General features: G+C 37.4%; 2 protein-coding genes, 1 long non-coding RNA gene and 1 pseudogene across 5 annotated transcripts in view, besides 1 other annotated feature; all 4 read left to right on the top strand.

Annotated features, from left to right (window-relative positions):
* Positions 1-23,834, top strand: part of PRH1-PRR4 (PRH1-PRR4 readthrough) — a 325,777-nt gene that overhangs the window by 187,538 nt on the left and 114,405 nt on the right. Inside the window, exon 4 of the long non-coding RNA NR_037918.2 lies at positions 10,367-10,433. This is a non-coding gene — a long non-coding RNA (PRH1-PRR4 readthrough). The remainder of the gene's footprint in view (positions 1-10,366; positions 10,434-23,834) is intronic.
* PRH1 (proline rich protein HaeIII subfamily 1) overlaps positions 1-23,834 on the top strand; it is a 290,647-nt gene that overhangs the window by 187,524 nt on the left and 79,289 nt on the right. For 2 of the 3 annotated variants that reach the window (NM_001291315.2, NM_001291314.2), the window contains exon 3: positions 10,367-10,433. In NM_001291315.2, the coding sequence (NP_001278244.1) occupies positions 10,367-10,433 (67 nt within the window). Of the gene's footprint in view, positions 1-10,366; positions 10,434-19,493; positions 20,285-23,834 lie in introns of those variants that run through there. The other variant, NR_133575.2, reaches the window with a different exon arrangement.
* PRH1-TAS2R14 (PRH1-TAS2R14 readthrough) overlaps positions 1-23,834 on the top strand; it is a 234,202-nt gene that overhangs the window by 187,524 nt on the left and 22,844 nt on the right. The window contains exon 4 of the mRNA NM_001316893.2: positions 10,367-10,433. Coding sequence (NP_001303822.1) covers positions 10,367-10,433 — 67 coding nt within the window. The remainder of the gene's footprint in view (positions 1-10,366; positions 10,434-23,834) is intronic.
* Positions 8,307-9,185: an enhancer, noted in NCBI's record as "OCT4-NANOG hESC enhancer chr12:11127502-11128380 (GRCh37/hg19 assembly coordinates)". NCBI's record gives its function as "activates a minimal SCP1, AML or CMV promoter by ChIP-STARR-seq in naive and primed H9 embryonic stem cells {active_cell/tissue: H9 hESC(naive and primed)}" and the evidence as "EXISTENCE:reporter gene assay evidence [ECO:0000049][PMID:30033119]".
* On the top strand, positions 18,702-19,685 carry TAS2R15P (taste 2 receptor member 15, pseudogene; annotated as a pseudogene).

Raw genomic sequence — 23,834 nt, 5'->3', positions numbered from 1 at the left:
TGAGTTAGTTACCAACTACCTTACTAAAACGTGACTTTTATAGAATATTTTAAAACCCTTTCTAAATGAACATTTAAATTGCCATATTAAAAACCCACAGAAAAATGCATAAATAACAATTATAACACTAAACGAGTATCTTAGCCTTGGGTGTCTAGAACTAGAGCCAATGTCTGATGTTAAAGTGATAACATTTATTTGGAAGATAAGTCCAGGGCAGCAATGGCCAGGACATGTGGAAATTGAGGCAAAGCAAATGTGAAACCATGTCTTGTGATGTATGATATGACTCTGCTGATGACCACTTCACAATGAGATGAGAGAGACAGCATGGTGGTCATCAGATGCGTGGACTTGACTCCCAGTACTTTTCCAGAAGGGCTGCAAGGGGAAACCACAGCCGGCATTAGTCCACGGAAGAGAAAGAGAAGAGAAAATGTATCTGCTCAGCTGTCTTCTGTCTTCTATTTCCCATTGGCCAGGGTTTCCCTGAGGCAGAACTACCATCTCTGCTGTTCTGCGTTCCATCATCCAGTCCCTTGGTGGTAGTTATGAAAGCCAAACCTCATGCCCCCAGTGTGGTGTTCCATTGAAGTCCCAAATGGAAGGATGATCTGGATCAAGCAAGGTGCTGACCAAGAAAAGAGAAGACAGTCAAGATAATCTGAGGAAGGATATGTTTGTGGGCAATACTGTCCACTCCTTGTGCAACTCAGATTGGCTCATGCCCTCCAATCATGGCTGGCTTTATAGGCATATGACTTCACAGTTGCACAGGGTCTTGTGCTTAGAAGTGCTTATGCTTAGAGGGGCTTTATGCTTGGATTAATCTTCTGCACTTGCTGTTTTGTTTTTCAGACAGAAGGTAGTCCTCTGCTGGAGAAGGAATAGTCTTCCACTAATTCGCTAGGAGTTTGCTCTCCCCACTCCTATGGGCTTGTGAGAGGCATGCACAGAGTCCTATAATGCCCACTATGCATGCCTGTAGCAACTTTGAATTCTGTTACATCATCTGGCACAATGGCCAAGCAACTTGGGCCAGACTCTATATCTGCTATAGAGCCCGTTTTTGTTTCGGGTTTGACTTGAGACAAGCAGCCCTTGCAAACTCCTTTAGTGAGTCAGAGAAATATCCTTAAATGTGGTATATGTTGAATTCAAAACCCCAATAAGCCCCCATAAAACTGTATTTCCCTTTTAGTGATAGGAAGTATATATATATAGGGCAACATGCCATTTACTGTAAAAAGGATGTTTTGACAAAAGGACCAGAAGCATTGGACCCCTATAAACTTCATCTATGTTATAGGTCTTTGAATCTGCTGAAGTTTATGTCTCTTCTTCCAGTATTTTACTTCTGTTCAATGTTATAATATTTTACTATACTTAAGGAACTTGCCACTTCCTGCTTATGGGTACCACTTTATGTAATATTATTAATATATTGAATTAACATGATGTTTTGCAAAATGTCAATTAAACTGAAAGCAGAAGTGACAGCCCTGACAGAAAACAGTGAAGCAGTGTTCTTGTTTTTACCACACCAAAGCAAATTGTTTTGATTTTCCTCCACAATGTGTGTAGATTAAAAAGCATTAGCTAAATCAAAAGCCGCATACAAAGTGCTGGAAACCACATTCTGCTCAGTGAAGATACCACATCCTAGAGCGAATGTGCAAGTGTGACTTAAGTTTATGCTAATGTGCATTCATCCTATAATCCATCTGGTTTTGACAGAGGCCAGTTAGGTTAACTGAATAAAGATATAAAATGGACGACCGCCCCCTGGAACTTTTGAGTTTTTTGTTGTGGCAGCGACCAATTCTGTTTCCTGGAGAATGCAGTTATTATGTTTTATTCATTTTATTGCCAGGAAAGTAGAATTTCAGAAGCCTCCCCTTGGTCCTGCTTACAATAATGTCCCTTGGTATACAGGTCAGGAAGAAATGTAAGAGTCCTGACAGCTGTTGAACCTGTCAACTTCAATTACACTTTCAGGAAGGGGTAACTACGATGAACTCATTAGAACCCCTTTGGGTTGGACATGGGCCAAAGCTCTATGTACCATCTGATCTTCAAAAACTCATACTCCAGTCCTATTGAGGCAGCTCATACCTGTAATCCTAATAATTTAGGAGGCCGAAGTGGGAGGATCACTTTAGGCTGAGAGTTTCAGATCAGCCTTGGCAACATAGTAAGAATCTGTAAAAAAAAAAAAAAAAATTAGTTGTTTGTGGTAGTGTGTGCCTGTAGTTACAGCTACCCAGAAGACTCAGGCAGGAGGATTGCTTTAGCCCAGGAATTCGAGTTTGCAGTGAGCTATGATGGTGTCATTGCACTCCAGCCTGGGCAATCAAGCAAGATCTTGTCTCTAAAAAGAAACAAACAAAAACAACAAACAAAAGCCCAAAAAGGGCCTGGTGCGGTGGCTCATGCCTGTAATCCCAGCACTTTGGGTGGCTGAGTGGTTGGATCACTTGAGGTCAGGAGTTCGAGATCAGCCTGGCCAACATGGTGAAACCCCACCTCTACTAAAAATACAAAAATTAGCCAGGTGTGGTGGTGTTGCACCTGTAATCCAAGCCACTTGGGAGGCTGAGGCATGAGAATCACTTGAACCCGGGAGGCAGAGGTTGCAGTGAGCTGAGATCATGCCACTGAACTCCAGCCTGGGCGACAGAGCGAGTCTCCACCTCAAAAAAAAAAAAAAAAAAAAAAAAAATCCAGAAGTAAAAATTTGCCACCGTATCCCATGGACCACTGTGTCTTTTGGGGTACCCAGATATTAGTGTTAGTTCAGGCTCCAAACTTAAAAGTCTCAGATAATATGGACGTGTGTTCTGTTCTCTGAGGACTGTTTTCTGGGGAATAGCTACAGGTCTTTGAGAAAGCAACATATGATACATCCTGAGTGTTCTTGCAGTGCATTTTCAATGTCCATCATCAAGAGGACTTAAGATTCCCTTCAATCATTGAATTCTGCTTCTCTGAATTGGCTCAGCCCTGAGAACTGGCTGAGGGTTTTCCATTTTCAATGTTAAAGGCTGACCTCAGGAATCAGCTTTTTCAACTCTTTCCCCCTCTTGGTTTATAATTATTTAGCAAAGTATGAAGCCTCTTCAACTATTGGCCTATCAACCCATTTCAATAAGGCTGTTGTCACCACTTCATTGAATCTGACATTTGGAAGATCACCAGGGAGTCTGTGTTGCCAATGGTCGGTCTTCATGTTGCATGCTCTGTGAGCAGTACTGAATATAGTTTATTTGCATTCCAGGATGCTGCCCTCTCCTGATTTTTTCCTTATTTACTGGGCACCACTTCTCAGTCTCCTTTGCTAGTTCTCTCTTGTCTCTAAATTGAAAATATCACACTGCCCAAGGTCTCAGTTCTTCAACCTTTAATCAATCGGGCTTGTTTTGTTGGTGATCTCATGGAGTCTCCTTACTGATAATGTAGCCAAATGGTTCAATAGAGAGGAATAAGGCTGATTATTCATATGTATTTATATATATTATTTATTTATGTACATCTATTTACATATTTCTCATTATATAAAGCTTTTTTCTTCAAATGTCAGTTACATTTAAAAGTAACATGACCAAAAATCTAGGGAGAATGTGGGAGGATCAATAATGTTTTCACTTGAGTTTCTGCCTATTCAGAGTGATAGTGACTCAGTATCTAATTTAGTTTTATTTAAAATAGCAATGTAAATATTGATAGATTGATAGGCAGGGGATAATCATTATGGACATAATGATCTAAGTAAAGAAATACATAGATAGAATTATGATTGATTAACCCATTTTTTATTTCTTGCATTTGGTACAGTTAGTGTCTCAGTATCGCAGTAATCATAGTTCTTAAGTTTTTGCTCCATGATCAATGAATTATGAGTTAATTTTTGTGTGTGGTATAAAATAAGGGTCTAAATTTATGTTTTTTCTTTCTCTTTTGGCTCTTACTTTTTAGGTAAGTTCATCTGGTCATGGCCTTACTTTCTGTGTGCTGATGATGTGAACATTTAATCCTTCAGCTCAGAACCCAACCCTGGTCTCCAGAATCCTTTCTCTAATAGCATATTTGACATCTTCATTTGGATGTCTGACAAGAACTTAGAACTAAGTTGTCTAAACCAAATTACTCATCTTTCCTTCCATCCCCAAATCTGTTTCTCCTACAGTCTTTCCTTTTGTTAATGAAGACTTCAGACTTTCAGATATTTAGACAAAAAACATAGAGTCCACGTTTTCTCTCCTTCACATCTCATCTCAGCAAATTTTATAGACTCTGTCTTCAAAAACATACAGAATCCAATCCCTTGTCGTCACTTCTGCCATACTCATCTAAATTTCTGCATTTCTTGCCAAGATAATTGCTATCAACTCCTAATAATTTTTTCTAGTTCTGCACATTCCCCTGATGTATTCTCAATGTAGCAGCCAGAGAGAGCCTGCAAAAGTGCAAATTTGATCATGCTGTTCTTCTGCTCCAGATTTTTCAGTGGCTTCTCAACTCATTCAGAGTAAGGCCAAAATCCTTACGAAGTCCTATAATCATTTGAATGATCTGTTTTTGTCTGCCTGTCTGTCCTAAAACACACCTGGCTCATCCCATGCTAGCAACATTGGCCTTTGTGTCACTTCTTGAATATGCCAAGCATTGCCTCAGGGACTTCATACTTGTGTCCTTTCTTCTTGGAATGCTCTTTCTCAGATATCAACACTAAACACTACCACTCCTCAAATATCACTAAATCACTAAATCAATCCTGCCTTATTTAAAGAGAAATCTCACTTCTCTCTGCAGTTTTAAATTTTTTTTAGATTTTATTTTAGGTTCAGAGGTATATGTGCAGGTTTGTTATATAAGTAAATTGCATGGCATGGGAACTTGCTGTATAGATTATTTCATCACTGGGGTGATAAGCAGAGTACCTGATAGGTAACTTTTTGATCCTCACCCCCCTCCTGCCCTCCGTCTTCAAGTGGGCCCTGGTGTCTGTAGCTCCCTTCTTTGTGTCCATATGTATTTAATGTTTAGCTCCCACTTGTAAGTGAGAACATGTGGTACTTGCTTTGCTGTTTCTGTTTTACATTCCCACCAGCAGTATAAAAGCATTCCCTTTCATCACAACCTTGACAGAGTCTGTTTTTGTTTGTTTGTTTGTTTGTTTGTTTGTTTTGTAATAGGCATTCTGAGGGGTGTGAGAGGTTATCTCGTTGTGGTTTTGATTTGCATTTCTTTAATGATTCATTCATATTGAGCATTTTTTCATATGCTTGTTGGCTGTGTGTATGTCTTCACTTGAAAATTGTCTATGCCTTTTATTCATTTTTAAATGGAGGTGTTTGTTTTTTGCTCGCAAAATCAAGTTCCTTATAGATTCTGAATAGGACTTTGTCAGATGCATAGTTAGCAAAATATTTTCTCCCATTCTGCAGGTTGTCTGTTTACTCTGTTGATAATTTCTTTTCTTGTGCAGAAACTCTTTAGTTTAATTAAGTTTCATTTATCAATTTCTGTTTTTGTTGCAATTGCTTTTGGCATCTTTGTCATGAACTCTTTGCCAGGTCCTATGTCCAGAAAGGTATTTCCTAGGTTATTTTTCAGGTGTTATTTTTCTTTTTACAGTTTTAGGTTTTACATTTTAGTATTTAATCCAGCTTGCTTTGATTTTTGTATATGTATTAGGAAAGTATCCAGTTTGAATCTTCTGCATGTGACTAGCCAGTTATCTCAGCATTATTTGTTGAATAGGGGGTCTGTCCCCATTGCTTGTTTTTCTTAACTTTGTTGAAGATCAGATGGCTGTAGGTGGGTGGCATTATTTCTGGGCTCTCTATTCCATTTCCTTGGTCTATGTGCCTGTTTTTGTACCATTGCCATGCTGCTTTGGTTACTGTTGCCTTGCAGTGTGGTTCAAAGTTAGGTAATGTGCCTCCAGCTTGTTCTTTTTCCTTGGGATTGCCATGGCTATTTGGGCTCTTTCTTTTTTTTTTTTTTATTCCATATGAACTTTAAAATAGTTTTTTTCTACTTTGGTGAAGAATGTCACTGGTAGTTTGTCAGAAATAGCACTGAATCTGTAAATTGCTTTAGGCAGCATGGGCATTTTAGCAGTATTGATTCTTTCTATCCATGAGCTCGGAATCTTTTTCCACTTGTCTGTGTCATATTTGATTTCTGTGAGCAATGTTTTGTAATACTCTTTGTAGCGATATTTCACCTCCCTGGTCAGCTGTATTCCTCTATATGTTGTATTCCTTTGCTGCTATTGTGAAAGGGATTGCTTTCTTTATTTGTCTCTGTTTGGATGTTGTTGATATATAGGAATGTTACTAATTTTTGTACATTGATTTTTGTATCCTGAGAATTTGCTGAGTTTGTTTGTAAGATCAAGGAGATTTTGGGCAAATACTGTTGGGATTTCTAGGTATAGGATTACATTGTCTGCAAACAGGGATAGTTTGACTTCTTCTCTTCCTACTTAGATGACTTTTATTTCTTTCTGTTGCCTGATTGCTTTGGCCAGGACTTCCAGTAATTGATTAAGAGTGGTGAGGGAAGATATCCTTGTCTTGTTCCTATCTTCCAGGGGAATACTTCCAGTTTTGCTCATTCGGTATGATGTGGCTTTGTTTGTCATAGGTGGTGCTTATTATTGTGAAGTATATACCTTCAATTCCTAGTTTGTTGAGAGTTTTTAATATGAAGAGATGTTGAATTTATTGAAAGCCTTTTCTGCATCTATCGAGATGATAATGCGATTTTCGTTAATTAGTTCTGCTTATGTGATGAAGCACACTTATTGATCTGCATATGCTGAAACAACCTTGTATGTTAGTGATAAAGCCTACTTGATTATGGTGGATTAGCTTTTTGATGTGCTGCTGGATTCAGTTTGCTAGTATTTTTTGAGTACTTTTTCATCTGTGTTTATTAAGGATATTGGTCTGAAGTTTTCTATTTTTTGTTGTGTCTCTGAAAAGTTTAGGTATTAGGGTGCTGCTGGCTTTATAGAATGAGTTATGGAGGAGTCCCTTTTCCTCAGTTTCTTAGAATAGGTTCTGTATAAATCATACCAGTGCTTTGTTATACATTTGATAGAATTCAGCTGTGAATCTGTCTGGTCCTGGGCTTTTTTTGGTTGGCAGGCTTCTTATTACTGATTCAATTTTGGAACTCATCATCGGTTTATTTAGGGATGCAATTTCTTCTTAGTTCAGTCTTGGAGGTTGTATATGCCCGGGAATTTATGCATTTCTTCTAGGTTTTCTAGCTTGTATGCATAGAGGTGTTGATAGTAGTTTGTGAAGGTTGTTTGCATTTCAGTGGGGTCAGTGGTAATGTCCCCTTTGTCATTTCTGAAAGTGTTCATTTGTATATTCTCTCTTTTTTCTTTATCATTGTGGCTAGTGTTCTATCTATCTTAATTTAAAAAAAAAAAACTCCTCAGCCCACTGATCTTTTGTATGATTTTATGCATTGCAATTTCCTTCACTTCAGCTCTGATGTTGGTTATTCCTTGTCTTCTGTTAGCTTTGGCATTGGTTTGCTCATGGTTGTCTAGGTCTTTTTGTTGGGATGTTAGGTTGTTAATTTGAGATCTTTCTAACTTTTCAATGTGGGCATTTAGTGCTACAAACTTTCCTCTTAACACTGCCTTAGCTATATCCCAGAAATTCTGGTATGTTGTATCTTTTTTCTCATTAGTTTCAAAGAATTTCTTGGTTTCTGCCTTAATTTCATATGTACCCAAAATTCATTCAGGAGAGGGTTGTTTAATTTCCATGTAATTATATGGTTTTAAGCTATTGTCTTAGTATTTACTTACATTTTTATAGGGCTGTGGTCCAAGAACGTGACTGGTATATTTTTTGTTGTTTTGTATTTGCTAGGAATTGTTTTATGTTAGATTGTGTGGTTCATTTTAGATTACATGCCATGTACAGATGAGAAGAATGTGTGTTCTGTTCTTTTGGGGTGAACTGTTCTGTGGTGGTCTATTAGGTTCGTTTGGTCAAGTGTTTAGTTCAGATTCTGAGTACCTTTGTCAGTTTTCTGTCTTGATCATCTGTCTAATGCTGTCTGTGGGGTGTTGAATTCTCCCACTAGTGTTGTGTGTTTATCTAAGTCTTTTCATAGGTCTCTAAGAACTTGCATTATGAATCTGGGTGTTCCTATGTTGGCTGCATATATATTCAGAATAGTTAGGTCTTCTCGTGAATTGAGTCTTTTACTTTACATAATGCCCTTCCTTGTCTTTTTTGATCTTTGTTGATTTAAAGACTTTTTTTATGAAATTAGAATAGTAACTCTGTTTTTTTTTTTCTATTTTTTATTTGCTTGGTAGATTTTTCTTCATTCCTTTACTTCGAGCCTATGCGTATCATTACACGTGAGATGGGTCTCTTAAGGACAGCATACCATTAGGCTACGCTTTTTTATCCAACCTGCCACTCTTTGCTCTTTAACTGGGGCAATTAGCCTTTTTACATTCGAGGTTAGTGTTGATATGTGAAGATTTGATTGTTTCATCATGTTGTTAGCTGGTTATTATGCAGATTGGGTTGTGTGGTTACTTTATAGTGTTACTGGTCTATGTACTTAAGTGTATTTGTGTTGTCAGTGAAGATCTTTTCTTTCCATGTTTAGTACTCCCTTCAGGACCCCTTGTGAGGCACGGCTGGTGGTAATGAAATCCCTTAGCATTTGCTTGTCTGAAAAGATCTTATTTCCCCTTCACTTATGAAGCTTAGTTTGGGTGGATACGAAATTCTTGATTAAAAATTCTTTTTAAAAAACAAAACTGCTGAATGTAAGCCCCCATTCTCTTTCTGTTTGTAGGGCTTCTACTAAAAGGTCCATTGTTAGCCTGATGGGGTTCCCTTTGTAGGTGATCTGTCCTTTCTCTTCCAGTTGACTTTAGCATTTTTTCTTTTATTTTGAGCTTGGAGAAGCTGATGACTATGTGCCTTGGGGATGGTCTTCTTGTGAGTTTTTAGTTCAGTCAGATCAGTTTGGTTCCTTCGTTGATTCTTTCCCCAGCTTGCTCAATTATGCCGTGAATACTTTCCATTGTGTTCTGAAATTCTTGATGTTAGTTTTTCAGTTCTGTCAGAACACTTTTTTTTCTTTTTTAAAATAACCGTTTTGTATTTCAACTTCTGCATCATTTTATTGCATTCCTTAAAAACTTTGGATTTGGTTTTTACTTTCTCCTGAATCTCATTGATCTTCATTCCCATCCATATTCTGAATTCTATTTCTGTCATTTCTGCCTTTTCAGCCTGGTCAAGAACCATTGCTGCTGAACTAGTGTGGTTGTTTGGAGGTAAGAAGACATTCTCTGGCTTTTCGTGTTGCCAGAGTTCTTGTGCTAATTCTTTCTCATCTGTGTGGGCTGATGTTCCTTGAATCTTTGAAATTGCTGTACTTTGGATGGGTTCTTTTTTTTTCTTTTATCTTCTTTGATACCCTTGGGGGTTTGATTTCGGAATAAGGTGGGTTTCATTTACTAGCTTTGTTTATGGTAGATTTTGGGGGTGCCAAGGATCAGCTCAGCACTCCCGCGCTGAATGCCGTAACTCTGGGAGGCTAGTATTGGGCCCCTGGCTTTGCTCTCTTTCCCCTTAAGGTTGGGAATCTGCTATGCTGGAAGGGCTATTGTGTTCCTGGATTGCTGGTTACGATACTCTGAAGGATGGTGCCAGCCTAAGCACTTTGTTGGGCAGTGGCATTGTGGCTCATCCTTGTTCACACATGCCAGCAGCATCAGTAGTGTGGCAGAGTACACACTCGTAGACTGGGGTGGGGTGCAGGTGGATCCAAGGCTGCTAGCCTCTATATGGACATTGGCAGTAGCCTAAATTCATCTTTATGCATGAGAATATTCATTTTGTCTAGCATCATTTATTGATAAAAATGATTCTTATTTAATTGAAATGGTATGGTTTTTGAAATTAGCTGATAATAAATGTTGTTACTAATTTGTGGACTCTTAATTGTGTTTCATTATTCTTGTCTATAGTATTAAAAATGCCAGTGTCCTGATGATTAGTCCAGCTTTTAGCAAACTTTGAAATGAGAAACTGTAATCCCCCCACTTTGTTCTTTTTAAATTATTTCTCTAGGTGCTCTTGTCACTTGGCATTTCCAGATACATTTTAGGAGTAGTTTTTTATGGTCTACCAAAAAAGCCCGCCAGAATTTGATAGAGATTGCATTAAATATATAAGTTGACTCTTCACCTATAAAGACTCTCCTTGTGCTGGATTTTAGTTTAGCTGGCCCTCCTTGTTTGCACAGCTCTCCGATGAATTGAAAATATAATTTTGGCCTTTTATTTATCTTATCCTAGCTGCTGCAGAAGAATATTTTGCCTGCTGGAACCTGCTGTATCTACTCAAGAGTGGAAGTTTTCACAGGTAACTTCTACATATCAAGTAACACAGGATCAAATGAAAACCTAGCAACACTTGGTTTCTGCCTGTATCAGACAGGTGAAATTGCAAGCAGTTATACAAGTAGTGTACTAACTTCTCATAAAGCCTACTCAAGGAGGGTATTGTTATTGTGTGCGTTTTACAGATGGCTATCCTAAGGCTGATAGTAGTTGTAAAATATAGTCTAAGTTCATATCTATATGAAACAGAGTATCTGGGTTTCTGTCCTGGCCATCAGACTTGAAGATCATTTCTTAGAAACAATTATATTATCAAAACTGAAAAGAAATACAATCCAAGGTTGGAGTCTTATTTTAGCATCTATTAATCTTAAGCCATTAAGTAATCAAAAATAAATTAAAAAGAAAAAAATATATTCAAATATCACATGTAGAGAAGTCTAGTTTCTTCAGTGGAAAACACATGTTTTTTAAGTGCTCAAGGAATATTTACAAAATTGCTTAATATTTTTAATTAAATAATTAATATTTAAAGACTTAATAGACCCAAAAGGATAACTTACTTATAGACCTAAGCATGAGAGATCAGTTTGATAAATATTGAAAATGGGCTAAAAAGCATGAGTGGGAAAATAAGGACTTTTCAACCTACATGACCTCCCTGAAATTTATTCTTCATTTTGAAAATTATAGGACAATAATTTCTCCCATCCATGTGGTGTGTGTGTGGGCGGGCGGGGGGGGTGGGTTGTGGTGCTTTGTACGTGTTAATTGGCTTGTTACCAATAAGGTTATACAGAGGTATTAGCAGCAACCAGATTTTAAAGAGTACTGGCCTTCCTGGGGTTCCCAAAAAAATCTTGAATGCATTTGATAGGAAAAGTTGGATTCTGTCTACATAAATCTGGTACTGAGGAAAACAAATTCACTTTGGCCATGATTCTAGTTACGACCAAACTCCCTTCAAAAATGTAGATATCCAATATATAATCTATGTATTGGGTTTTAAAATTTTCCTAACAACTGATGTTGCTGAACAAAAATTATGGAGAAGTTAAAGAGGGAAAAAATTGCAAAACAATGAAAGAGAATATGTCTTCATTTGCATGCTTGCAAGTGAAAAATCAGCTTTTACTTCAACGTCATTATGAAAAATTTTATTCAAATTTTTTCAAAAGAAAAAATAGAAAGAACAGTGTATGAATAGTAGTTAACTTGAGCTGTTCTGAGAATAACATATTTTCCATAAAGACAGCATTGAACTCATCTATAAGCATGTGCTGGTGCTTTACTGCTTGACATTGGTCACACAACTGAATTTAAAAGCATCAAAAATATTAGTGCACATTCAGAATTCAGGTACACATAGAGTTTAAGGTCAGGACCTTAAGGGGGATCATGCCCAGTGATATTAGACTTGCCTTTTTTTAAGGTGTGTTTGTTCAGTTCATGGGAAGTTTACTACCAATCATTTTTTTCCATACTAGTAATGGTGGAATTTGTATTTTCCCATGACACCTATATTAAATGTATAAACATTTTTATATTTCAACACTTTGTATGAGTCCTTTCAGGGCCTGTTAAACACTCCAAATTTCCCTTGCAACATGCCAATAACTAATCATATTTTCTCAAAATGATCTGACATAATGTTTGACTGAAGGCATATCTCTGGTATAATTCTATTTGCTGATATCAAATGAGAATTTGAAACTTCATGAAAAATGATTAGAAAATTTAATAATAGAATACGAATAAGTGCATAAAATATACAATTCATTCTTGAGAAATGTGTATAAAATCACAATCATAGAATGATAAAAGAGTAATATGTAATTTTTGAACTAAAGTTACGTTTTAAAATTGAATAGAAAAAGAATTATAAAATGTTAAGTTTAATAATTTTTATATAAATATAAAAGTGTGAAAATTATTCTGATATTACTCATTTTGAAAAGAACAAGAAGTAATGAGAATTTTCAAACACTGCTCCTAGAAGTATAAATTAATATAATTCTTTGGCTTAGTATGGCATTATCTGATGAAGATGAAGGAGCACATCTTAAGACTCAGTACAGGTACTCTTACCAGAAAATGTATACACACACATGAATATCACTGTGTTTTCATAGCTAAAGTTGAGAAGTTTCTCAAATGTCTATCAGTGATAAAATAGATAAATAAATTATGGCATACCTATATAATAGTATAGTACTATACAGTAATCAAAATGAACCAACTAGAGAGACATGTTTACAAGAAATGTATATAACAAAGAAAATAAACAAATTTGAGCTGATTAGATAATACTCACAAGTGTAAGAGGATCTATCCATAGTGAAAAACATTCATTTTAATTCCATTTATATAAAGTTTTCAAAAATATATCTTTAATACATTGCAATTTATTACATTGGTGACAAAACTCTAAAGTGAAACATATGAGTGACTATTACAACAATATGGATAGTAGGGAGGAGGAAAACAAGAGGAGAATGGGATCAACAGAAGGCATATATGGGGAGTGTCTGGATGGCTGGAAAATTCTATTTTTTGACCAAGATGTGGTAAACACGGGGAGTAAAGTTATAACTTTTTCTCTTACTGTGCTTTTAGGTTTTGTTGCTTTCTGTCTGTATGCTATGTTCCACAATAATAAAAATATTTAAAAGGCAAAAAAAGTAAAATAATGAATATAAAATTACACTGAAACTACATATTCTCATAGATAGAACTGTAATTATTAGAGTTTTTGCTGAATAAAGTCAAATAGACTATTATAGTAGTTATAAACACAAGTTAAAATTTTAGGGCCGGGCAAAGTGGCTCACGCCTGTAATCCCAGCACTTTGGGTGGCTGAGCGGGTGGATCACCTGAGGTCAGGTGTTCAAGACCAGCCTGGCCAACATGGTGAAAGCCCGTATCTACTAGAAAATACAAAAAATTAGCTGATTGTGGTGGCGGGCTCCTGTAATCCCAACTACTAGGGAGGCTGAGGCAGGAGAATCGCTTCAACCTGGGAGGCGGAGGTTGTAGTGGGCTGAGATTGTGCCATTGCACTCCAGCCTGGGCAACAAGAATGAAACTCCATCTCAAAAACGAAAAAAAAAAACAAAAAAACTTTTCTTTAATTTTAAAAATAATATATAAGCAAGAACTATAAATTCAAATTCTTAATGCTAATCTTAATTTGAAACATCAAATTTTGAATATTGATACATTGCTGGACACCTTTTGTTCTTATTTCCAATTTATTTACAATGCACAAAGTGACAGAAATTACTGAATTTTCAATAAATTATGGTACTGTAGATATTAAATTATACGGATGATTATCCCTAAATTTATCCTTAAATAAAATAATTTCAGTCATATTGTTACCATTCAAAAATCATAGTATGTGCACACATATATGTTGGAAAAAATATTTTGTTGCTATAATTTTTTGGCTCTCTATTAGAGAAAAAACCAGAAAGTTAAATGTGTTAAAGTGTAAAACTTACTTAGTATAATCTTTGGGTATGTTTTTGTATGTGTAGTGCTGCATTGCTTGCTATAATAAAATACTCCAAGGGACCAGGTGCAGTGGCTCACGTCTGTAATCCCAACACTTTGGGAGGCCGATACAGGCAGATCACCTGAGGTCAGGAGTTCAAGACTAGCCTGGCCAACATGGCAAAACCCCATCTCTGCTTAAAAATACAAAAATTAGCCGGGTGTGGTGGTGGATGCCTTTAATCCCAGCTACTCAGGAGGCTGATGCAAGGAGAATTGCTTGAACCTGGGAGTCAGAGGTTGCAGTGAGCCGAGATTGTACCATGGCACTCTAGCCTGAGCAACAGAGTGAGACTCCATCTCAAAATAAAATAAAATAAAATACTCCATATTTCATCACAGTAGCTGAGAATGCAAATAACCATTTGAAAGAATTTGGCTTGCTAATGATGCTATTGATACATATGATAAATTTTACGTACTGTATAATTGCACAGAGTATTTGTACATGTTCATATGAAAATGCAAAAAAACAAAAAAACAGAAAAACCAAAGAGCAGGTGCTATTTGCTGGAAGACATGTTTGCTATGATTTTTAGAATTTAATAAAAGAAAAAAAATAGCTAGCAAACTTTTGGAAATATGTTGGTTTAAAGTTGTCATTGATGAAATACTATGTGAAGGTGATAGGAGCAGGAGGCTGGGAAATTCTAGACAGAAAAGGGCGGGTCCTCAGCTAAAGCCCCACTCTCAAGCCAAATAGACTGAGACTGTGGCCCAAAGGGAGTACTTCTATCCCTGTTTTCCCACTCAAATGTTGCCTTTTTTGGCCTGCCCCACCCCTCATCCTATGCCCATAAAACCCCAGGCTCCACCGGTAGTGAGAAGTGGCTGAAGATCGAGAGGAGAAGCAGCTCAATGTTGTAGACTATGGTGGGACGTTGGAGAGAAGTGGCTTGACTTCAGAGGGACAGGTTGAAGGCGTGACTTTCGAGAAGAGTCTGGCTGGAGACAGCCGGACTTCAGGGGAAGATTACCTTCCTGCTTCACATTCCCTTTCCAGCTCCCCTTCCTGCTGAGAGTCACTTCCATCAAAATAAAATCTCCCTCATTTACCATTCTCCAATTCGGTTGTGCAACCTCATTTTTCTTGGAAGCTGGACAAGAGCTCAGGAGCCAGGAATGCAGATACGAAAAGTTGTTACACTGAACCTCTGCCCTTGCTGGCAAGAGGCAGCCGCCTCAAGCGAAAAGGCAAAGGGCCCACTGAGCTACTAACACTTAAGACGTCTGCAGATAGCAGAGCTAAAAGAGCACTGTAACACCCTCCCCCTCGAGGTTTCAGGGGTGCGGGCACCCCCCCAGATGCTGCTGCGGGGCCTGCACAGAATTTGTTCCTGCTGGCATCCAAAAGTGCTCCTGCACCTGTTCACCTGTGTGCTCCCTCCCATGAGGGCTGGGCGCAGTGGGTCCCAGCGAGTGGATTTCACCCCTGCCAGCCCTAAAGCAGCTGGCTGGTTCTAGCGTCAGTGAGCCCCAGTTCCCTCCCATGAAGGGGTAAGGGAAATGTCCTCCATCAAAGGTATTATTTCAGTCTAAGCCCTGATGCTGAGAATAATATGAGAATCATAAAGCCAGGAGAAAGAATAATTGTGTTATCCCATTACCCTGAATTGTAGCACTTAGAAAAATGAATGGTCACATTTATTAGCTAGCAGTCTACCTTGTAGCTATCATCATCATCTCTATCTACATCTATCCCATTAAATAATTTACTTTTTGAAATATGTACATTCATAAATTGGATAATGCCTACGTAATTTAAATAAAGAATATCATTATGGGCAAGTTACATTAGTAAACGGTAAAGTTCAAGTCAAGCTAAATACATTTAGATTTAGAAATTAAGTTTAGTTTAGTTTAAAATACATTGCTTAAGAAAATAGTTATTTATGGATGACCTTAAACTAATCCAAGGAACACTATAATAAACATTTAGTTTTTAACGTAAATACAATTCTTCAATCAGAGAGATAAACCATTTCATGATCAATCTATTATTTTTGTTTATTATTTTTATTATTTATTTATTTTTCTTTTGAGACGGAGTCTCGCTCTCTAGCCCAGGCTGGAGTGCAGTGGCTCCATCTCAGCTCATTGCAACCTCCGCCTCTTGGGTTCAAACGATTCTCCTGCCTCAGCCTCCTGAGTAGCTGAGATGACAGGCACGTGCCACCACACCCTAATCTCTTATTTTTAAAAAGAGGATTTTAGGACTAAACAAATCAAATGTAAGTTTCCCCTCACCTCTTTGATCTCTCACTTGAGTAATGATGCAGTTTGAAGGCAAAGAGCCCCATTTCTACATTATAAGCAAAATAAAAGTTAATTCATGGAATACAATGGTGTATTTGTAATTGAGGTACTATATTTTATTTATTGGAATGGCATTTTGAGATCCAGTGCTGTTCATTGAATTTCCCTGTAAGGAGAGTTTGTGGTTTGGACTCATCAAGCTGCTATGCCAAAAACAAAACAAAACAAAACAAAACAAAAAGCTAATCACATGAAATCAATTTCCTGTTTCTTCCAACTTGCAGGATAAGGCCTAGACGAAGCTTTTATTGTATTGTGTGACCCAAGTGTTGGGAAAAGTAGAAAATTGTTACCAGATGTGAAGAAACATTTAGGGGCTTGAAAAGCAGCATGGAGGTGGACCTAGGCTCTTTGCAATGTTCCACGTCTTGCCTTATTTGATGGTTACATGAGTGTTTATAATACATTGCTGTGTTTACCATTTTTATTTTGACTCATTTCTAAGTGTGCATTATAATTTTATTTGAAAATTATTTATTAGGAGAAGTGCACCATAAAAATTATTGATTACTCTGCTCATTATATACCTAGGAAAAAATTCACCATTTATATATCTTTACATACAACTCTAAGAGAGTTGAAGTGGGAACTTTATTTTAGTTACAACATGTAGAAATAAGAGAAGACGCTACCTGAAGTACCCAGATCTTTCCAAAGGTTTTTTTCTACTTTTTTTTTTTTTTTTTTTTTGAGACGGAGTCTTGCTCTGTCGCCCAGGCTGGAGTGCGGTGGCGCCATCTCCGCTCACTGCAAGCTCCGCCTCCGGGGTTCACACCATTCTCCTGCCTCAGCCTCCCAAGTAGCTGGGACTACAGGTGCCCGCCACCAGGCCTGGCTAATTTTTTGTATTTTTTGTAGAGACGGGGTTTCACCGTGTTAGCCAGGATGGTCTCGATCCCCTGATCTCTTGATCTGCCCACCTCAGCCTCCCAAAGTGCTGGGATTACAGGCGTGAGCCACCGCGCCCAGCCTCTACCTTTAATTATCTACCTTGCATGACAAAACTTTGCCATTCCTTATCTATTTTTCTTTTGGCTCCTCTATTCCTGACACAACAAGGGTGGACATATTTCCCACACGCTTGGTTTTGCAGAGTACCTATATCAGTTAGGTTTTTCTGCCAGAGAAACCTCTCCAACACTACATTACATATTGATATCTCACATGTCTTTGGATTCAGTTTTTCTAAGCTGGGTTTGCTGGATGGCTCTGGTGATATGAGATGGGCCAAGTTCTGCATCTTGGAATTAGTTAGAGTTTGGACAAAGTAGGCTGGATCAGGCAAGGACAAACTGACTCCATTATTTTCTCATTCTCCTTCTGGGAACAGAGTAGTAGCCAGGCAATGTTCTCATAATAAACAGAAAAGGAAAAGAAACTCCAATGTGGAAACCATCTCAAACCTCTGTGTGAAGTCTACCAATTTTCTGTTAATCAAAGCAAGCTATGTGAGTGTACTCAGAGTCCAGGGGCAAGGTAGTCACCCTGTGTGTGGTGGGAAAATACTGCAAGATTATATGTCAAATAATGGGATACTCAGGAATATTTACAAAAATGTTGAATATTTTAATGAAATAACAAATATTTAGACATTCAATAGACTTGAGAGTAACTTTACCAAGGGTCTAAGTATGAGAGATATGTTTAATATATTTTTATGGGCTGAAAACCCTGAGTGGGAAAATAGGACTAATTTCACCAGGATGACCTCCTGGAAATGCATTTTCCATTTTGGAAATTATTTTAAAAGTTCATTTTTTCTGGATGGGTATGTGTATGTGTGTGTGTCTGTCTATGTGTGTATGTTTTATGAGCTTGTTAACACTAATGTCATACAAAAGTACTGGTTAGCAGGAATAAGATTTTAAGGTGTATTGGCATTCCCATGGTTCCCAAGAAAATTTTCGATGACTTTGATTAAAAAGTTTGGATTTTGTCTATTTAAATCTAGCATAAAAATTGGTCATGGTGATGATCCTAGTTATAACTAATCTCCCTTTAAGATTTAGGCATTTACTGTGTGAAATATGTGGCACATTTTCCATAACAAACAGCTAAAGTTACTGAACACAAATTATGGAAAGGTGAAATGAGGAAAACATTGCAAAACACTGAAAGAGAATATGTCTTTATTTGCATGCTGGCAAATGAAAATTCCGGTTTCACTTCTACTTCAGTATCTAACAAGTCTCTAACAAGAACAGACATTGAATGAATGAATTAAGTTGAGCTGTTTGAAAATTAGAATGTTTTCCATAAATACATTATTGAACTATCAATTAGCATAAACTGCTACTTTCTTGTTTGACACTGGTCACAGTATTTGAAAGTAAAAAGAATGTTACTGCACATTCAGAAATCAGGTCCACATAAAATTTAAGGTCAGGATATTAAAGGATCACAGCCAGTGCTGTTAGGCCTTCATTTATTCTATCTTTTTGTCTGTTCAGACATGATAACTTTTCTACCCATCATTTTTTCCATTCTAGTAGTGGTTACATTTGTTCTTGGGAATTTTGCTAATGGCTTCATAGTGTTGGTAAATTCCATTGAGTGGGTCAAGAGACAAAAGATCTCCTTTGCTGACCAAATTCTCACTGCTCTGGCAGTCTCCAGAGTTGGTTTGCTCTGGGTAATATTATTACATTGGTATGCAACTGTTTTGAATCCAGGTTCATATAGTTTAGGAGTAAGAATTACTACTATTAATGCCTGGGCTGTAACCAACCATTTCAGCATCTGGGTTGCTACTAGCCTCAGCATATTTTATTTCCTCAAGATTGCCAATTTCTCCAACTTTATTTTTCTTCACTTAAAAAGGAGAATTAAGAGTGTCATTCCAGTGATACTATTGGGGTCTTTGTTATTTTTGGTTTGTCATCTTGTTGTGGTAAACATGGATGAGAGTATGTGGACAAAAGAATATGAAGGAAACGTGAGTTGGGAGATCAAATTGAGTGATCCGACGCACCTTTCAGATATGACTGTAACCACGCTTGCAAACTTAATACCCTTTACTCTGTCCCTGTTATCTTTTCTGCTCTTAATCTGTTCTTTGTGTAAACATCTCAAGAAGATGCAGTTCCATGGCAAAGGATCTCCAGATTCCAACACCAAGGTCCACATAAAAGCTTTGCAAACGGTGACCTCCTTCCTCTTGTTATTTGCTGTTTACTTTCTGTCCCTAATCACATCGATTTGGAATTTTAGGAGGAGGCTGTAGAACGAACCTGTCCTCATGCTCAGCCAAACTACTGCAATTATATACCCTTCATTTCATTCATTCATCCTAATTTGGGGAAGCAAGAAGCTGAAACAGACCTTTCTTTTGATTTTGTGTCAGATTAAGTGCTGAGTAAAAGACCTGAAACTCTCAAATTTCTAGATTCACAAGTGGGACATCGTGTGTCTCCAAGAGAAAACAAACTGATGTTGTCTGGAACATTTTATACTTTCCACTGGTTTTTCTGTATTGTATGTTTTTGAGTAATTTCCAAAAGTATATCTAGAAAAGTCTTTTACCTAAAGTTAGTCTAAAAAGTATCTATATATGCATGTGTATGTGTATATGAAACACTTAAGAGAGAGTGGCAATAACATAATCATTTTTTACAAACTGCCAAATTATAGAAAATATTGTAAGAAATTTTTCAGAATCATGAAGCCATGTGTATTCACAATACAGTTCATATTATCATGTTTCATTTGAAAAATTTATGATCTCTATTTATAATTGTTAAGAACTTACAGCTTATTTCACAAAATCATTGCTCTTTTCCACTGTTATTTGTACCATACGTATGTACCATAGTGTGCTTAAACGTGATTATTTGAACGTCTAGTTTTTTGGATGGTATGCGCATTCTAATCTAAATCAATAATGAAGTTTTATCTTTGGGGTAGTTTTTGTTGCATAATGAATTCTAATTTTATGTTTAATTTAAAGCAAACAATTATTGTTAGAAAACTATGCACAAAATAAAATTCAAGGATGAAAAATATATTTGGAATACATTTTGTATATGTCTACCATCATCAGTACTGAGGAATATTAGATTTTATACAAATATGTGAACAACTGAGAAAAAAGTCATATCTGTAATAGGGATGAAGAAAGAAACACAATGCTGACCTCTTAACTGCTGTCATAAGTCTCCATATACAGGTAGAAAAGTCATTTCTTCCAGTTTTTGAGGTAAAGAAAACCTTTTTTGAAATTGAGATCGGATACCAAATATTTCCGTTTCTTTCCTAAACTGCTTCAGAGCCCCTAAATTGCCGATTCTCTCCACTATCTTCCACATTTAAAAATCTTTTTAAAAATCACATAAATGAACTCAAATCTTTATTACTTGAAAAAATACTCCATGTAAAAATAGTATAGAAATTATGAAAATCATTTGAATTATACTTTCTGCAAATTCTAAAATGACGTCTATGACATCTATGTATTGATGATAGGAAATGACTTAAATATATGTTTTATTATAATCTAGTTGCAAATAATGCAGTGAGAGAAAGTGTGTTGACATATTCAGTGATAGCAAGTTCTATTATAGGAAAAAATGTATAACGTCATTAAACAAGTAAATTCTACAGACTGTATCAATTCTCGGAGTTATGAAATTTTAACAATGTTATCTAAACCTTGAGATAAATCATTTGATTTAGTTATTTGTTTGTTTATTATATATCTTTCCTGGTACAACGTAAGCACCATAAAAGCAGAGACCCTGGTCGGGGTCGGTGGCTCACGCCTATAATCCCAGCACTTTGAGAGGCCGAGGTGGGCGGATCACGAGGTCAGGAGATCAAGACCGTCCTGGCTAACGCTGTGAAACCCGGTCTCTGCTAAAAATACAAAAAAATTAGCAGGGCGTGGTGGCGGGAGCCTGTAGTCCCAGCTACTCGGGAGGCTGAGGCAGGAGAATGGCATGAACCCAGGAGGCGGAGCTTGCAGTGAGCCGAGATCGCGCCACTGCACTCCAGCCTGGGCGACAGAGCGAGACTCCGTCTCAAAAAACAACAACAACAAAAAACAGAGATCCTGCAGACCTTGCTTATTGTTGACTGCCAGGACCTAAAAGATCACATAAAAAATAGATAGCCAAAAATATTTTGAAGAACAAATGAGTTAGTGAATAGAGTAATAAATTACATGTCTTGGGGTGGTGAACCAGTGAAAATGAAGCATCACAAAATCTACAGTTGCATGAATTTGCCTATTCTGGTTTCTGGTTGAGATGACAGAATTATCTAAGAAGAAGCATTTTTCAGAGTAAAAGTGTGGTTATTCCATACTTGCAGGGGAAATATCGCTATATATAGCCTTGATGCAGCTATATCAGACTAAAAACATGGAGATAAGGTGGAACATCAAAATCACATGGCACCCACTACAATACCTTCAAAACAGCATATAAAAGACTTTTGGATATTTGTATATATTTTCTCGATTGTGAATGATATATTTGTATTCTGATATTTCTAGCTGGTTATTATGTAAAAAATGCATTTCAATTTTAAAAATTGAGTTAGTTATGAATTACCTTACTAAAATGTGATTTTTATATAATATTTTTAATATCCTTTCTAAATGAACATTTTAATTGCCATATTATAAAATCACAGAAAAGTGAGTGAAAAATAAATTATACCACTGAATGAATATCTTAGCTTTGGAGGTCTAGAACTAGAGCCAGTGTCTGATATTAAAGTGATAACATTTCTTTGGAAGGTAAGTCCAGGGCAGCAATGGCAGGGACGCGTGGAAATTGAGGCAAGAGCACGTGGAAAGTGAGGCAAGAGCAGATGTGAAAGAACGTGTTGGGATGTATTGTAACAATGTGTTGTGTGTATGTGACTCTGTTGTGGCAACTTCATTATAAGGTGAGAGAGACAGCATGGTGGTCATCAGATGCATGCACTTGGACCCCAGTACTTTTCCGGAAAGGCTACAAGGGGAATACCACAGCCAGCATTAGTCCATGGAAGCGAGAGAGGAGGGAGAATGTATCTGTTCAGCTGTCTTCTGTCTTCCATTTTCCATTGGCCAGGGTTTCCCTGAGGCGGAACTACCATCTCTGCTGTTCTGCTTTCCATCATCCAGTCCGTTGGTGGCTGTTATGAAAGACAGACCTCAGGCCCACAGTGTGGTGTTCCATTCAAGGAAGGATGGTAGGATGATCTGGATCAGGCAAGGTGCTGGCCTAGAGAATAAGTGACAGTTAAGGGAATCTGAGGAAGCACATGTTTAAGTCCAATACTGTCTACTCCTTGTACCACTCAGATTTGCTCATGTCTTCCAATCATGGCTGGCTTTATGGGCATATGATTTCCACTGTTGCACAGGGTCTTGTGCTTAGAGGCGCTCATGCTTAGAGGGGCAATCATTAGTCTTCCTGTTGCATGCTGTATTAGCAGCAATGAACCTGGTTTATTTGGGGGATGCTGCCATCTTCTGATTTTATCATTGTTCGCTGGGCACCTCTTCTCAATCTCCTTTGCTGGTTCTTTCTCTTGTCTCTAATCTTCTGCAACTGCTGTTTTGTTTTTGAGACAGAGGGCACTCCTCTGCTGAAGAGGGAATGGTCTTGCACTAATTCCCTAGGAGTTTTCTCTCCCCTCTCCTGTGGATTTGTCAGAGACTTGGACAGAGTCCTGTAATGCCCACTATGCATGCCTCTAGCATGTTTGAATTCTGCTGGATCATCTGGCACAACGGGCAGAGCAGCTTAGGCCAGACCCTATAGCTGTTATGGAACCCTTTTTTGTTCTGGTTTCCACTTGAGACCAATGGCCTTTGGAAACTCCATTAGTGAGTCAGAGCAATATCCTCAAATGAGGAATATGTTGACTCCAAAATCCCAATAGGCCCAAAAAACACTGTGCCTCTTTTTTAGTGAGAAGAATTATGTATCAGGAAACATGCCGTTTACTTTAAAAAGGATGTTTTGACACAAGGACCAGGAGCATGGACCTGTAAAAACACCATCTATGTTATAAGTTCCTGAATCTGCTGAGGTTTATGTCTCTCTTCTTCTGATATTTTACTTCTGTTCAAAGTAATACTATTTTACTATATTTAAGGAACTTGCCACTTCCTGCTTATGAATACCAATTAAAGTAATATTATTAATATATTGAGTTAGCATGATGTTTTGCAAAATGCCAATTAAACTGAAAACAGAAGTGACACAGCTCTGACATAAAACAGTGAAGCAGTGCTTTTGTTCTTACCCCAACAAACAAATTGTTTTGATTTTCTCTCACAAAGGGTGTAGATTTAAAAACATTCGCCAAATCAAAAGCCACATACAAAGTACCAGAAACCACGTTCTGCTCAGTGAAGGTACCACATCCTAGAGAGCATCTGCAAGTGCGATTTAAGTTTATGCTAATGTGCATTCATCTGATAATCCATCTGGTTTTGGCAGAGGCCAGATAGGTTAACTGAATAGGGATATAAAATGTACTACCACCCCCAGTGTTCATTATCAAGAGGACTTAAGCTTCCTTTCAGTCGTTTATCTCTGCTTCTGTGAATTGGCT

The sequence above is a fragment of the Homo sapiens genome, chromosome 12, assembly GCF_000001405.40.
Source record: "Homo sapiens chromosome 12, GRCh38.p14 Primary Assembly".
Classification (NCBI taxonomy): Eukaryota; Metazoa; Chordata; class Mammalia; order Primates; family Hominidae; genus Homo; species Homo sapiens.
Note: the sequence above shows the minus strand (reverse complement) of the source record. Positions and strands in the feature narration are given on the sequence as shown.